At 47.8% G+C, this 16945-nt stretch overlaps 1 protein-coding gene across 5 annotated transcripts in view, besides 2 other annotated features; it reads right to left on the bottom strand.

The window, feature by feature from the left end:
* ARK2C (arkadia (RNF111) C-terminal like ring finger ubiquitin ligase 2C) overlaps nucleotides 1–5191 on the bottom strand; it is a 129123-nt gene extending 123932 nt beyond the window's left edge. For 3 of the 5 annotated variants that reach the window (NM_152470.3, XM_011526016.4, XM_017025788.3), the window contains exon 1: nucleotides 4874–5191. In NM_152470.3, the coding sequence (NP_689683.2) occupies nucleotides 4874–4934 (61 nt within the window). In that variant the 5' untranslated portion in view covers nucleotides 4935–5191. Of the gene's footprint in view, nucleotides 1–1557; nucleotides 3322–4873 lie in introns of those variants that run through there. The other 2 variants (NR_046357.2, NM_001256758.1) reach the window with 2 other exon arrangements.
* Nucleotides 5138–5748: an enhancer, noted in NCBI's record as "H3K4me1 hESC enhancer chr18:43913424-43914034 (GRCh37/hg19 assembly coordinates)". NCBI's record gives its function as "activates a minimal SCP1, AML or CMV promoter by ChIP-STARR-seq in naive H9 embryonic stem cells {active_cell/tissue: H9 hESC(naive)}" and the evidence as "EXISTENCE:reporter gene assay evidence [ECO:0000049][PMID:30033119]".
* Nucleotides 5749–6360: an enhancer, noted in NCBI's record as "H3K4me1 hESC enhancer chr18:43912812-43913423 (GRCh37/hg19 assembly coordinates)". NCBI's record gives its function as "activates a minimal SCP1, AML or CMV promoter by ChIP-STARR-seq in naive H9 embryonic stem cells {active_cell/tissue: H9 hESC(naive)}" and the evidence as "EXISTENCE:reporter gene assay evidence [ECO:0000049][PMID:30033119]".

The following is a 16945-nucleotide window of genomic DNA, read 5'->3' as shown; positions in this document are numbered from 1 at the left end:
ATTGGAGGCTTTCTAAGTCTCCTGTAAATGAAAATTTAAAAAGAAGAAAACGAAACAAACAAAATCTTCAGAGGACTAGCCTTGTAAACCTGTATCTCTCCTCTTGCACAAACTACAGCAGAGCCTCCACTGGGAACATCCATGTGTGTCCATGTGTCACAGTAAATCAGCTCAGCTTTCCCATCCAGGCTGGGAAGAGCACGAGAACAAAGAGGGCCAGAGCAGAGAGGGCAGCCATGGGGGGAGAGGAGAGTTGCATGAAGCCACAAAGAAGGCAAGGAAGCGCTGTGGTCAGGCAGGGGTGCACCCGCCAGCGAGGAGCAGGGTGAGCCGGGGAGTCAGTCAGCCCAGGGGAGCAAGGACAAGGCACATCGGCCAAAAGAGGAGCAGCTCCAAAATGATGACCCTTTGAAAGAACCAGGAATTTCTTTAATCAACTCATTTCCTCAGTGTCTAAAATGCCTCATTTAGCAAGGCTTGTTCTGGGCTGAAATTGAATAGGTGTAATTGACAAATGGCTGAATTTGGGTTCCACTCTGGGAAAAAAAATACCTCTCCACTGGCTTCTCCAGTGTAATTATGGAAAAAAAAAAGATATTTTAAGGGTTCTTTTTTCAACTCAATTTGGGGTTAGGTCCTGACTTTACTCCTGATTTCCCCTTCCCCCTTCCCCACCTCAACACACACACTTAGACAATGGCTGAGATCTTAGCTGTCTTTCTCTTAAGAGAGGCCCTAGGGCCGTAGATGAAGCAGCTGTCAGGAAACTAGGCTATAATCAGCTTTAACTGGCTCACAGCCTGCAGAGGGCACAGACCCTCTTATTCCTACAGTAACAGGTCCGCTGCTGGCCCTGGATAGGGGTGGGAGTGGCCTGAGTCAGCTTCTGTTTCAAACATCTTCCTTATCCAGGATCTCAATGCAAAACTTATATTGCAAGTCCTAAAAATTTAAATATGCACATAGAAGAGGGTACTTTAAAATTCCAGATCATGGCTTCAGCTACATGTAACATGTCACCCCCAGCATGATTTATAAGGACAGTAAATCAATGAGACAGCAAACAGAAAAGTTAAAACACAACTCAAAATGGGTTTTTAGGCGAGTCTGAAATGCTACAAGATTGCTAGTTAAGAACAGTATCCCTTTTCTCAACCTAAGTGTTATATCCCCTTCTCTTCACCAGCATCATAAACCCAGTGCCCATGTATCTTGAAAACTAAGATGAAATGTGGAAGCTACTGAGTACACAGGCGGCCAAAGGTAGGGGTTCTCTCTAGGCAGGTGAACTGTTTCAGTGTAACAGGACAACTGGCCCCTCCTATCGCTCCAGACATCTATTGTGAAAAGATATGGACTAAATGAGATTAAAGTCACCATATCTGTACCACAAAAAAAAAAAAGTAAAGTAAAAAGAAAAGGCATTCACTCAAATCTTACAATGGGAGGTGGGAGTGGTGGGTGGGTGAGGGTGGGGATAGAAAAGCAAGGGGGGAAAATCTAAACAGCAGGATACGACAATAAATGGGAAAACAGCAAGAGAAAAAGCACACTAGGTTAATATAGGAAAACTAGTTCTTTATTGAGAGATTGTATATTAGTATTAGTGGATTCTGTGTGTAACAATGTCGTCATGCACACGATACAAAAAAAAAGGCTGGGCCCACCATGCTTCGGAAGGGCAACAGAACAAAAGCAGCGTACAATGAGCAGATGGCCCGGGCTACACGACCACAGTACGTTTCAGCAGGGTAACATCTCTAACCGAGCGCTGTACATTGTCAACTGGGGGATGTAAAAAAATACAGATCATGCTTTAGTTTTAGTACAAGAAAAGGTGAAAAAGATACACAACCAAAAGGATATTTGATACAGAAAAAATTACCCACAAAATAAGAACAGGAAGTAATTCAGCACAGCAGAACACGCTACCCCTGTTTAATGGAAAACCATTTTGCTGGGATTCTTTTTTCTTTTCTTTTCTTTTTTCTCTTTCTTTTCAGATTGCCAAATGGCAGTCTGGGGAGGCTATTTGGGACTTTATTTTGGAAGGGCCCTCAAAGTAGGGGCCTTATTCTTTTATTATTGCTGCTGTTTTGTTTCAGTTTTCAAGCAGGTCTGGCTGGCGAGCAGCAGAAGGGAGCCGGCTGTTAAAGGGGCAGCTCTGAGGGCCAGGGCGGATGTCCAAAGATGCTCTTGACATTGTACAATTAAACAATTAAGACGCTATGGCCATGGCTCCCACTTAAGCCAGGGACCTTGGTGCACCAAGTTTTCAGAGGCTATGGGATAGCAGCAACTGTCATTTCATCAAAGATTTTTTTAATACATATGTTTAACATTTTTTGCCTCCAACTAAGTGCAATCTTCAGTTATGCCTGGGTGCTGCCAAGAAGCTAACTGATAGTCACCCAGATAACTGAAAAATGAAGTGCTGCAGCCTCTAAGCCAAGGCAAAAGGAATCCACTTAACAGGGATTTACAGTGCAATGTACTCGGCTAAACAAGATGAAGATACAAAAATGGTTATTTCTCTACATCTATTCTGAAATGGCCTACATCCTACACTACTACAATGGAAACTAAAAAGAACAGATTTAAGCTGGCAAACTCTCTAATAGTTTTACAAGAAGATTGTGGTTTAGGACCTTGTTGAGTTAAGCATTAGTATCCTCTATCGGAAGGTCATGAACTCTTATCACATTCTGCGAAATTTTACCCACAGACCAACTCACCCCTCAGCCCTTGAATTTCCTGTGGGCATGTTTGCCGTGAAAGTAAACTTTAACTGATGGGCAGAATTTGTGTTGTTGGATTTTTTTTTGTTGGGGGGGGTGAGGGAGAAGGTAGTATTAAAAATAAAATTTAAAGGCAGCTGAGCAATTTGAATTTCAAAACATGGAATCAGCATCCTGCAATGGTATTTAGAGATTGGTGGTATTAATGAGGATGGTAATGATTTAATCAGGATAATTATACTTTCAGGCTCAACATCCTTCTTAATCATTTTTGAATTTCTGCCTAGTGTAATGTTCCACACCCGTTTTAAGAGGAAATGCCAAGTAATAAGAGATAATTGTGTATTGAGAGAGGGGGTGGCATTTCAAGGAGATCGCATCCAGCCCCCCTCTTTCTTCCTCACACACCCACTCCCCCTCACCCCCATGGCTAGGCTGGCCTGAGATAGGGGATACTGCCGCTTAAATAGCAATGCCTTCCTCAGATGGAGACAGGAAATGGTTAAGAGGGTGTCACAATACAGCTAAATGCGGAGGCAGAAGGGTCACAGCGCACACAGCAGCGAGTTGACCATTCACTGAGCTACACAATGAAGAAAAAAAAAGATTTGATAAATGCAGAATGTCATCATTCTATCATCACACAAAAAACTGCGGTTCAAACAGGCCTAAGGGGGCCAAGCTTGCCTTTTAGGTTCTGGGGAGAGGCGCGGGGCTGGGGACAGCTGGGCTGGATAAAATAGGGCTGGGCTTTCCTTTTCTTGCCCAATCGGGCCCCTGGGGCGCACTAAAGCGCTGGCCCTGCGACCCCACCCCCCACCCCGACTTGGTAGAGGAGCCCTGGTCGGCCAAGGGAAGACATCATTCTGTGTATGAGGGAGTGGGGAGAGGGGGAGGAGGGCCTGAGCCAGCAGGGATTTAAGCAGACGTGGAGTGGGAGAGGATAGAAGAAACATTTCCAAGACGAGAAATGTGAGTCCAGAGGCAGAATACAAAAAAGAAAAAAAATGAATCTAAATGCATCTCGGATTTGCTTGGGAGGTGGGAATTTTTTATTAAAAGAAAATGAAAGAAATGTGGAGTGGAGGTGGGGAGAAGAGGGGAAAATCAAGCTATTGTTGTAGCAGAATGTGAGGGAGAGGGGATGTGGGGAAAGGGGACCGTGCAAACACACCCCATTTATCACAGTTAAAAACAAAGCCCGCGCCGGCCCGCTGCTTTGTCAACCGCTGCCCGGGGCAAAGGCCTGGCGTGGGGGCAGCTTCCCACCTCATCCTCACACACAGCACAACACCCAAGGGCCGGACGCCCCGCTCCAGCCGGACCCAAGGAGGGCACAGCAGCGCAGGTCTGACTCTCCGAGGCGCGCGCGCACACTCGCACACATGCACACACACATACAGACACACACACACACACACACACGCGCCCAAGCATCTTGAACCCGTGTATGCAACTGTCATACAAAGACAGTTGCGGGGGGCGGGGTGAGCAGGGCAATAGCACAAGGGCGATGCACAAAAAGGGTTAAAGACGAAAAAAGGATGGGATGGAAAATCGTGCAAGTGCCCACGAGAGGGTGGGGGCTGGGGCATGGGATAGGGCAGAGACCCAGGTCCCAGCTAGCCAGCCATCGGTACTAATGAACAAAAAATGAATACAAAACACACATAACACAAAACACACATATACCTCAAAAAAAGCAAACCACAGAAAACCAAGCATGCTCTCGCGCGCGCGCTCTCTCTCTCTCTCACACACACACACACACACACACACACACACACACACACACACACGGTCATGTATCTTTCTCCTTTCGATCATACAGGGCTAGGTATTAGGGGAAGGGGCTGTGATTTGGGGGAACCACGTCCGCCGCAAAAAATAAAAAATGGGGCTGGGGAGGAAGGGACCCAAATTCGCCAAACCCTAACTTCACTACAAAAGCTCCCACGAGGGCGGCCGCCCCCACCCTCGGGGGTCCCCCTAAAATGGGGTGGGGGGAAGCCACCGCTCGCCCTGCGTCCTCGCGGGTGTGCCCTGAGCCCCCGGCCGCCCGCGGCGCCCGCCCCCGCCCCGGTGCCTGCGGCGATCCACGCTCCGAAGCAGACCCCGAAAGGAAAAAGCGATACCTCTGTTTCGCACAGAGCCAAACACTGGAAGCACGAGATAGCCGACGTGGACCAGGACCATCCTGGCTCCTCGCGCGGCGGCGGCGGCGGCGGCTGCGCGCGGGCCCTTTGTGGCGCGGCTCCGGGGCGCGGGCGCGGGCGGCGGCGGGGCTGCGGGAGCCGCCGGGGCGGGAGGCGGAGCGCGGGGCGCGGGCGGCGGTGGGGCGGCGGCTGGCGGGGAGACAGATGGCCCATGGAAAGGCTCCCTTCCCGGCCCCTCTCGACATTCAAAGGCGCTGGGGCCGCAGCTGCCGCCACACAAAGGCGCGCGCAGCCAATGGGAGCGGAGCGCAGCGCGGCGCGGCCTCGCCGGAACCGCGGGGGACAGCGGGGACCGCGGGCGCGCGGGTGGCGGAGGGAGGGAGGGGTGACGGCTGGAAGGGGGCCGGCGGCCAATCGCTGCGGCCCGCTGCGGGGCGCGAGGGAGGGGTCAGCCCCACGGGAAGCGTGGAGCCCAGCGCGGGTCCCTGGCCGCCCGCGGGCCGGAGAGGGCGCGCGTGAAGCGCCCCTGCACAGACATGGGCGGCGTGAACACGGAACGTGCACACATGGAGAGGGACGTGCACTCAGACATGTGGAGGTGCGTTCCTTAGTGCAGAGAGACGGGCACGAGCGCCCTTAGTGCACACGACCCTGAGGTCCCTGCACACCGCGCACGGGTCACTCGGGGACGTGCGCTCGGAGGCTGGCGCACGTGTAGAGCCTGACTGCGGGCACAAGGGAAGCTGGAATGCGAACAAGCAGCCGCAAACAGGACCCAGGCACTGTCACACAGACATGCACACACCAAACGCCTTGTTAACGCAGGACGCGTGCCAAGAACGCATTCTCAGAGACACACAGAGGGAACACACGATGCAGACACAGGTAAGACACGCACACTCCCCAGGCTCTCTGCCTGGCGCACCGCGTCGTTGCTCTTGGAGAGCACAAAGCTCACAATAATTATTTGCTGAATTGAAATTCACTCATTCACTGAGGTCTTTGCCAACAGTCTACACAGAGACACACTGCCCAGAAAACCCAGGGCCACTCATCTACCTTTTGCCCTGATCTGAGACAGGTACACCCAGCCATGTGCACAGACACGCCCACTTCCACAGCCAGCAGGCGGATATGTAACATCAGGCTCTGAGGCTCCTGCAAATTCACACGTGGAGGCGCAGCCACCGTGTCACATGTGCCCTGTGACAGTCCAGCTGGGGACAAGCAAGACCCAATCAAAGAGCCTTCACCGCAAGCTTTGTTGCCAGGAGGACGACTGAGGCGGTGTTCTTGCATGCTCAGCTGACCTTCTGTGAAAACTCCCAAGGCAACCCTACGCCTACAATCAGGCTCACAGTTCACACACTAAGGCCAGAGAATGCTTCAGGGGCCCACCCACGGGCAGAAAGACAGAGGACATTCCCTACATTGGGACTTGTCTTCAAAGCCCAGTGGTTTCTTTCTTTAATGAGTCTGATAAATAGGAGATGGTAAAAATCACAGTATGTGGAGCTGGAAAGAATCTAATCCAACCCCAACCTGCCCTCACCTTGGAAAAGGAGGGTCATTCATTTAATCCATGCTGTGTTGAGCAAGGGCATAGGGAGGTGATCCCGATCTGCCCAAGATCCCAATTCTTGGAGGCCAGAGAGGGCCTCAGAGATGCCAACGGGCAATCACCATAGAGCTTGTTCCATGCAGAAATGGGCAGCACGGGAAGCTGGGCAAACGGGGAGCCTTGGAGGGGCACCCAGCCCAGTGGGTGGCAAGGGGAGGAGTTGAGGCTGACTCCGGGAAAGTGACTTCTAAGGCTTTTGAGACTTGAAGAATAAAGAATGGGAGAAGTGAGGTAAGACAATGGACAAGACAGCAAAGGGAAAACCACAGCCTGGCTTTACCCAGACAGCTACCATATTCCCAGTGGCAAGGGCAGAACCCAGGGTTCACCATTCTCTCTCCCATAAGCCCGTGGATCTCTCAGGCCTGAGCTCTCTTTCCCACCCTAAACTCTGGCTGCCCCCAGAGAACTCAGGGATGAAGACGGCCAGAGGCAAGTCTCCCAATAGCAGTCCAAGTCTCACCCTAGGCAATTTTTTTCAACCCACTTCTACCACCAGCTCTTTCCTTTTTTCATTATCTGATAAATAAACACAATGCCACTACTAATTGAAATCTGAAAAAAATGAAAGGATTTTAACAAACACCTAACTACTAGAAGTTTTTCCTGTTCTATTTCAGGCTTGGACAGTATGCATATATATCAGAATTGTCATCATAATCTACATATTTTTCATCCTGCTTTTTAAACTTAACATTTTATCAGAAACATTTTCCTGTCCTTTTACGTAGCCATTGTAATTATCATTTCAAATGCTTTTATATATTCCAACTAGTGAACGTATCATGATACTACTTAATCATACCTTATTCTAGGGCATTTAATTTGCTCCCAGTGTTCCATTATTACAGATCATACAATAAACTTCATGCATATGGCATCTCATTTTGGTCGAACTATAAACGTAGAATAAACTTCTAGGATTGACATTCATGGATTGACAAATACGGAAAACTATGGCTCTTGCCACAAATTGCTTTATAAAAAGATAAAACTCATTGTCAGTACTATCAGCAGTATGTATATGGTATGCCAGTTTCTCTGTGCAACCTTGCTAGTTTTGGATGGGCATTCTTTTTTAAAAATCTTACTTTGTACCAGAACAGCTTGCAAAAGCTTATGATTACCCAATCTGACCTTGACAGGAAGGAGGTCAGGGTTCAAACTCTGTAATCAAATTGCCTGGCTTCACATTCTGCCTCTGACACATAGTAGCTCAGGCAAGTTATTTAACTCCTCTAGGCCTTGGTTTCAACATCTGTAAAATGGGCTTGATGATAGCAACCTTCTTGGTGGGGTTCTTTTGAGAACCAGATGAGTTAATACTTGTAGAGTACACAGAATCGGGCCTGGCTATTAGGCTCTTAGTTCTTTCCCTTCACTTGTCCATCTCTCCTTGCTCACCACCTCTTGCCCTCCACTTGCTATTTATGATTGCCTAGTTAATGCAGTTAGTGTAAATTATGCTATAGCATGGAACATCCCTCAGAGAAAGGCAATCATCAAAGAACAGACCAGCAATGCAAACCAAGGGAAATCTATGAGTCCACCTAATAATTGCATCCTTCGTATTTGCACATCAGAGAAACCTGACAGACAGATGCCTGCATTTTCAGTACACCAACATATAAACACAGGCATGAGCCTCCTGCTAAGAAGGAATTTTTGTGGATTAGGAGGAGGAGTTTCATTTTTAATGAAACCTTGTTAACTACCTAACATTTCTCAGCCCCAACACACCCATCTGTATAATGGGGATTAGCACAACCCCTGCCAGACCTACCTTATAGGTTTATTGTGAGGATTCAGTGAGAAAGTGATAAAGAATCTGAAAAAAAAAAAAAAAGAAAAGAAAACAAAATTCTAGAAGCATAAATTCATTGATGTCTCCAGAATGAAAGTCGATTATTGTCTTGCCCGTCTCTTGTTTTTCAGGTGAGGAAGCTAAAGCTCAGAAGGTTGTAAACAAGGTCACAGCCATTCATGGCTGAGCTAGAACTAGAATCCATATTTCCTAGCACATAGCCTAGTCTTGCTTCTACTTTCTATCTGTTTCCGTCAGGCTGGGATGACTGTTTTCCACTCTCCCTCCCATTAGCTAAAGTCCATAGAAGTACAATAAGAAGATTTCTGGAGTAGAAAGATTTGTAGAAATATTCCATTCTTCAGGGTTTTTTCTTTGTATGTTCTGCACCCCCTCAATCCCTGCCAAAATCAATGCCTAGTGCATGTTTGTGGCATAGCATGTAAGGCTCAAGAAGTATAAAAAAATGAAAAGTGAAGGTTGATCTATAATTCCTAATCCAAAATGGAAAAACATGGCCTTAGAGGATGGAGAAAGCGCTGTCACTTTGGTCTCTGACCCACACTTTGAATCCCCACTCTCTTTTGGCTCCACTATGACCACCTGCAAAAAGATTTCTACAGATCATCATGTTTCTGGAGCCCAGAAGTATCTGTTTTAAGAACAGCTCTTTTGGAGCCCAACCTTACATCTAGGTTATGACCACATTGTCCTTTAGTCAACAAATGAAAACAAACCCACCACATCAGTCATGTAGATAACAAAAATGTTCAAGAATGATGACAGCATTCCTGCTCTTCTCCATGTTGTGTTGACATCAAGTTGACAACTTGCAAAAGCTGTGCAAAACAGCTATGCGTCAATCAGTGAACCTACTGGGACTGGTGTCACGACAGCCCTGTGCTGAACGTGGCAGGGGATTCTAGATGCGGTCTGCTGCAGAAAGAGCCGTGGCCCCAGGCACTGATGGCCGCTGGGGAGCCAGGGCATAAACACAAGAAAGTAAAGAGTAATCAGGACAGGCTGCCCATAACGAAGGATGATGGTGAGTCAGACAGAAGTCACGGTAGGCCTGAATACTCAGGAAATCCTCTGGATGGATCAGGGGAGATGAGGACCCTAAAGTGTGGGTCTATTTTGAACAGGCTGAGAAAATGGGAGTGGCATTGAGTCAAGGAAGCAAAATATGAACAAAAGCCCAGAATTAAAAGCAGAAGAAAGAGAAGGAACTGGAGCCAGGCGTGGTGGCTCAGGCCTGTAATCCCAACACTTTGGGAGGCTGAGGCGGGCAGATCACCTGAGGTCAGGAGTTCGAGACCAGCATGGCCAACATGGTGAAACCTCGTCTCTACTAAAAATACAAAAATTAGCCAGGCATGGTGGCACATGCCTGTAATCCCAGCTAGTAGGTAGGCTGAGGCAGAAGAATTCCCTGAACCTGGGAGGCGGAGGTTGCAGTGAGCCAAGATGTTGCCACTGCACTCCAGTCTGGGCAACAGAGCAAGACTCCATCTCAAAAAAAAAAAAAAAAGAAGGAAAAGGAACTGGAAAAGGTGGAAGTGGAGGGGAAGGGGAAGAGGAGAAGGAGGAGAAAGAGGAAGAGGAAGAGGAGTGAGAAGGTCAGAGAAGAATAGGAGAAAGAGAGAGAAGAGAAGCAGCAGCTTGGAACAAATGTGCTATATAGGAAGGAGCTCAATGTTCTTGGCCGAACTGGGAACCTGGGTCATGGAAAGCATGGGAACAGTGAGGACTGCACCATTTATTCATATGTTCACTGCACAGTCACTGAGTAGAGCCTTTTGCATCAGAAAGTGCAAGGGATACAAGATAAGATGAATGAAGCCACTTCAGCCCTCAAACAGGTATGGGCCAACAGGAAATGAAGCAGTTACCAGGGTTCACAATCCCCTTCTCCAATGTAATTGGGAAATTACCTGAGCACCTGGCTGCCCAGGTTAAATCCCAGCTGAAGATCCCAGACCCCCTGGCAGTGAGGGAAGGCTGTATGATTAAGTCCTGCGGACAGGGATGAAGATAGGAATGTTGTGGGATATCTTTCGTAGAAGATAAAGCTCGCTTGGAGGATGCTAGAAATTGGTAAATAAAGAGAAAGAATCAAGTATGTGTCCTGGCTTTCCCATACAAACTCTATTATTTTAAGATAATGAAATATTTAATGAGAGAAATTTCTTTTTATAGAAATATTGGCAAACAAATAAGAAATGATATCATGAGCATGTCATCTTGATGAAATAAAAGTTCTAGGCAATGACCGTTAATGGCTGCTAATATCAGCAAAAGAGAGACAATGGGCCATGATGCGTTTCTGATAGAACACACCACCATCCATGAGGTGGTCTTTCCAGAAAATGAAACCTGAGCCTGATGAAAGCTCCAGATCTAATTTCCAATTGTTAGGAAGCACAGGAAACAAAGAAACGTAGTAAAAGATAACATTGGGATGCAATCTGCAAAATTCAGATTAGGGAAACTCTATAGGATAAACCAACCATTTTCTTCAAAAACCAAATTAACAGGTGCTAAAAGGAGATGGAGGGGGAGCCTATAGAGACATAAGGGATCTATCAACCAAATGCAGTGTTTAGATTTTCATGAGATGGAATTAGAACAAGTAAACTATAAAAGTAATTGGGGGCCAGGCATGGTGGTTCGAGCCTGTAATCACAGCACTTTGGGAGGCCAAGGCAGGAGGATCACTTGAGCCTAGGAGTTCGAGGCCAGATTGGGCAACATGGTGGAACCCCGTCTCTAAAAAAAAACTTGCTGAATGTGGCCAGCTACCCTGGAGGCTGAGGCACCTGAGCCCAGGAGCCCGAGGCTGTAGTGAGCCATGCTCGTTTCACTACACTCCAAATAAATAAATAGTAATTGGGGAAATGCACACTGACTGGATATTAATGATATTAAGGAATTATTGGGGTATTTTTAGGTGGAATAATGATATTATGGTGATGTTCACACAGAAAACCCTTACACAGTCAGTTCTATGTACCTGCAGGTTCCACATCTGAAGATTCAACCAACTTCCAGTTGAAAATACTTGAAAAAAAAATACAAATAACAATACAACAATAAAATTAATACAAATTTTAAAATACAGTATCACAACTATTTTCATAGCGTTTGCATTGCATTACATCTTATAAGGACTCTAGAGAGGACTTATAAAGTATACAGGAAGGTGTGTGTAGGTCATATACAGATACGTGATTTTATGTAAGGGACTTGAACATCCTTGGATTCTGGTACCTGCAGGGGTCCTGGAACCAATTCCTCCACAGATACTGAGAGATGACTGTATTTACAGATGCTTTACAGATTATATTAAATGACGTCTGGAAGGTTCTCCCTCTTTGAAAAAGGGGAGGGGTCAGTGAGAAGCCATAGCGATGAAACTAGATTGGCATTGTGTTGATAATTGCGGAAACTGGATGAAGAATACCTAAGAGGGTTCATTGCATTATTCTCTCTACTTTTGATTATATTTACAATTTTTTTCAAAAATAAAAGTGAAAAAGGCCAGGCACGGTGACTTGCGCCTGTAATCCCAGCATTTCGGGACGCCAAAGTGGGCAGATCACTTGAGGGCAGGAGTTCAAGACCAGCCTGGCCAAATTGGTGAAATCCCATCTCTACTAAAACTACAAAAATTAGCCAGGTGTGGTGGCACGTGACTGTAATCCCAGCTACTTGAGAGGCTGAGGCACGGGAATTGTTTGAACCCGGGAGGCGGAGGCTGCAGTGAGCCGAGATTGTGCCACTGCACTCCAGCCTGGGCGACAGAGTGAGACTTCATCTCAAAAAAAAAAAAAAAAAAAAAAGGAAAAGGTAAAAAAGCTAGCACATATCCTTGCGTTCTGCAGGCACACAAAAAGATGTTATCTCTGGGTGGATAAGTTAGGAAGCAGCGCTCTTTCTCACCTTTGACACAGACGTAGGCCAGAACTTCAGGCTGAATTTTAGTCCCCACTCACTCCCTTGGATGGTCTCCCCTCTGCCGCTGAAGCCCTCCTTGGACGGTCTCCCCTCTGCCGCTGAAGCCCTCCTTGGACGGTCTCCCCTCTGCCGCTGAAGCCCTCCTTGGACGGTCTCCCCTCTGCCGCTGAAGCCCTCCTTGGACGGTCTCCCCTCTGCCGCTGAAGCCCTCAAGAACACAGACGGCTCCCACTCACCACACATGGCTGCGGTGGACAGTGTGTCCCCTTCACAACCTCGGTGCAAGAAAAATAAACTCCTGTCTTTTTTAAACTACTGAGACTCGGGTCTCTGTGTTCATGGCCAGATCTAATCCTAACTGAAGGTAGAAGTGATTCGTACCCTAAAACGAGTCATTAAAAATACTGCAGGCCTGGCGCGGTGGCTCACGCCTGTAATCCCAGCACTTTAGGAGGCCGAGGCTGGCGGATCACGAGGTCAGGAGATGGAGACCATCTTGGCTAACACGGTGAAACCCCGTCTCTACTAAAAATACAAAAAATTAGCCGGGCGTGGTAGCGGGGGCCTGTAGTGCCAGCTACTCGGGAGGCTGAGGAAGGAGAATGGCGTGAACCCGGGAGGCGGAGCTTGCAGTGAGCCGAGATTGCGCCACTGCACTCCAGCCTGAGCGACAGGGCAAGGGCAAGACTCCATCTCAAAAAAAGAAGAAAAGAAAATACTGCAGAGGGGATTAGACAAGGGAAGAGCATGTCTAGTCAGGTGGATGCGTTAGCGATTGCTACCAACCTATTACATCATTAATAATTATCAAACCGGCAGTGGCACACAACAGTAAGCATGTATTCTCCCTGAGCTGCAGGCTGGCCAGCTCCAAGGCGGCTGCGGCTGTTGTTTCTCATGGCGTCTGTGCATTGCTGGGTGGTTCTGACCCACATCTTTCATCCTTTTTCCGCTGGCCAGGACATGTCCTTTTCCTGCGTGGCAAGTGGACACCTGCAAAGCCTCTTAGGACATGCCCAAAGTGACAGCTCACACGGAGATCCAGGGTGAGTTAAGGAAACATGAATTAATGTGATGGGAACAAAGAGTGTGTGTGGGCACACCTGGTGAAGAAACCAGAAGTTTCTCTGGTACGCAGTGGGGAGCACCGGGGGATTCTGAGCATCAGAGTGAAGTGTCAGGAAAAGTAATCTACCATCTAGGCACAACATGAACAAAGGTGGGGGTAGATTCTAGGGGCTGGGAAATCAGGTGGGATTGAAAGTCAGGCTTAGGAATGGCACATTGATCCTGAATGCAGGGCCAAGGAGGAACCAATGACATGCCTGATCTGTTTTTTGTTTTTGTTCTGCTGCTTTGTTTTTGAGACAGAGTCTCACTCTGTCACCCAGGCTGGACTGCAGTGGCTTGATCATGGTTCACTGCAGCCTCGATCTTCCAGGCTCAAGTGATCCTCCCACTTCAGCTTCCTACGTAGTTGGAACTACAGAGGTGCACCACAGCGCCCAGCTAATTTAAAAAAAAAAACAAAATTCTTTTGTTTTGTAGAGACAGGGTCTCACTATGTTGCCTAGGCTGTTCTCCAACTCCTGGCCTCAAGTAATCCTCCCACCTCAGCCTCCCAAAGTACTGAGATTACAGACATGAACCACCACACTCGACCAACACCTGACCTTTTTAACCAGGGAAAAGAATGTTCTGCAGGCACTCTTTTCCTTATGATGACGTTAAGATTTCAGTGGTGGTCTCTAATCCAGTCATTCTTAAATCCAAACGACACCATTCAAATGAATCACATGTACTCATCTCTGAAAAGCTAAACTTTCCTCTTAATCCTTTTGTAGTTATCTGATTCTAACTTCTACTGACTTTTCCACATGCTGTCTGATTTTGCTCTTATTGGACATGAGACAGTTTCATATATTCATAAATCAGCTCAAATATTGGGCTTACCAAGGCAAACCTGCAACTGGGGTAGGCTGCCAAGGTGTCGCAGGGAATGCTAGCAGGCCCTGTTATCTATTCCTCACTTCTTTCTGGATAATAGAGTCTCTGACTTTTAGTTCAGCATATGGCCACCTGGATTAAAGACTACATTTCCCAGATTCCTTTGCAGTCAGGCATGATTAATTCTGAGCAATGGGATGTAAGCAGAAGTTCATGTGTGACTCCCAGGAAGTGTTCTTTAAGGCAAAGAGCTGTGCCTTTCTCCACCTCTTTATCATTTGCACTAACTGGAAGATGGATTGCAGGGCTGGACTGGAACAGCCATGTAGGACTGGAGGAAAGTACACCCTAAAGACAGTGAGGAAGCATGTTTGAAAGAGGCTGGATACTGGATGATTTCATAAAGCTACTCTACCAACCCCAGACAGCCTCCTATGACTTCTTTGAAATGGGAAATAATTAGATTGCAGTCTCACTGAAGCTGTTGTTATTTTGCAACTCTCTCTCACTCTCTCCTACTTGCAGTCAGGCGTAAAATCATCACATGACCACTGATTCCTCCCCAGGTGGGCCAAGACAGAGATGACATGTTTTGGTTGTGATACAAGATTTTGTTCAGGTTTATGGAACTGGGTAAGTTGTGTGCATAAGAAGAAGCACTGCTTTAATGCACAAGGAGAGGCAAGCAGGATGGGGAAACATGGGGAAGTGGCCCCAGTGTGTTCAATGAATGCTAAGAGCAGACTGAACAAGCGAGATGTGACAGGTGTGATGATTTAGGCTTTCCCTGCAGGCAAGGGAGACATCATGACCTTATTTCATTCCTTACTTCTTCATTTTCCCTCAGTAACTCCCTCCTTGGTCGGGGAAGCAGGTGACTGGTAGAAATCCACAGAGAGGGCCGGGCACAGTGGCTCACGCCCATAATCCCAGCACTTTGGGAGGCCAAGGCAGGAGGATCACCTGAGGTCGGGAGTTTGAGACCAGCCTGACCAACATGGAGAAACCCCATCTCTACTAAAAATACAAAATTAGCCGGGCATGATGGCGCATGCCTGTAATCCCAGCTACTCGGGAGGCTGAGGCAGGAGAATTGCTTGAACCTGGGAGGTGGAGGTTGCGGTGAGCCGAGATCGTGCCATTGCACTCCAGCCTGGGCAACAGGAGCAAAACTCCATCTCAAAAAAGAAAAAAAAAAAGAAATCCACCAACAGTGCAGGGCAGTCCCTGGATGCATGTCCTTATGGGGCTGGTTCTCACACTTCAGTGTGCATAAGAATCCTGTGGAGAACTTGTTTAAAAGATAGATCCTGACTGTGTGCAGTGGCTGGTGCCTGTAATCCCAGAACTTTCAGAGGCCCAGGCTTGAGGATGGCTTGAGACCAGGAATTCAAGACCAGCCTGAGCAACATAGCAAGACCCCATCTCTACAAAAATAAAAAATTAGCCAGGTGTAGTGATGCATGCCTGTAGTCTCAGCTACTCGGGAGGCTAAGGCGGGAGGATCGCCTGAGCCCAGGAGTTTGAGGCTGCAATAAGCCATGATTGCACCACTGCACTTCAGCCTGGGCAGAGTGACAGAGCGAGACCCTGTCTCAAAAATAAAAAATAAAAATAAATAAATGGTAGATCCCCCAGGTCCCATTCCCTGAGATTCTGACCCAGGGAGGCTAAGGGCATGGCTGAGGAACATGCATTTTAGCAAGGACGACCTCTTGGCAGGTGAATCTCATGCAGATGGTCGGAGGCCCCTCTTTGAAAAACATGGCTCTGAGATCTAGCCAGTCAGTCCCTGAGGCTGGGTGGCCCTGTGTCTGCTTTGCTCTCCACTGAACACCCAGCACCCTGCGCGCTGCTGACCAGAGGCTGCTCACTGTCCCTCTATTAGCACCGAGGAGCCACTGTGCATTCTTGAGCAAAAGCGTGACCTAAAGAACACTTCCACTTCTCCCAGCTCTGCTGCCCTGGAGCCTGCTGAGGGAGAACAAAAGAAATGTCTAATCCTACGAGAACTGAGGATTTTCTTTTTTAAAAAAAAAAATCAGGTTCTCAGGCCAGCATTTTGATAGTGTTGTGGCTTAGCCTCCTTTCTGACTTTGCAGCTGGTGTCTGACTCCCGCGGTGAACTCTGTGCTTAGTATTAGGTGACTCGTTCTTTTGGAGACAGGTCCTGAGATGTGGGTCTGAGACCTTGGGGGAGGGCGCTTGCAGAGCTCCACACCAGCACTGCTCTGTCCCGTGTCCTCGTGCCTTCTCACCTGCTGCTTACCATCCCTCCCTGCGGCTCAGCTTGTCCTCCTCTCACTGGTGAGGAAACTGAGAGGTTGGGATACTTTATCCAAGTTGAGGCTGCAAAATTGGCATTCGGGCACACACCCGGGTGTGCCTCCCAGCCCTGGTCGCTCCATCAGGAGAGACGTGATGCACATTGTTTGCATAGTGTTACTTTTTGTCCCAACCCCCAGAAGTGAGGCTGGCCACACCTAGCTAGAGGAACTGGCCTCACCTTCCAGTGGAATTTGAGTGGCTCGGGATTCCAACGGATGCCCTCAGCAGTCTCCTCAAATCAGGCACAGTGCCTTAAAATGCCACCATCTCCATCCTTTGGGTTAAGGTATTGTTTAAAATGTGCCCTTCGGAAAAGCAATAAGTTTTCATGTAAATTTACGCAGAAGCACCCGTCTGATCTGTCAGCCTTCTGGAAGCTGAGTCTTCTCACAGC

The sequence above is a fragment of the Homo sapiens genome, chromosome 18 (genome assembly GCF_000001405.40).
Source record: "Homo sapiens chromosome 18, GRCh38.p14 Primary Assembly".
Classification (NCBI taxonomy): domain Eukaryota; kingdom Metazoa; phylum Chordata; class Mammalia; order Primates; family Hominidae; genus Homo; species Homo sapiens.
The sequence above is the reverse complement of the archived record's forward strand: the minus strand, read 5'-3'. Positions and strand labels throughout refer to the sequence as shown.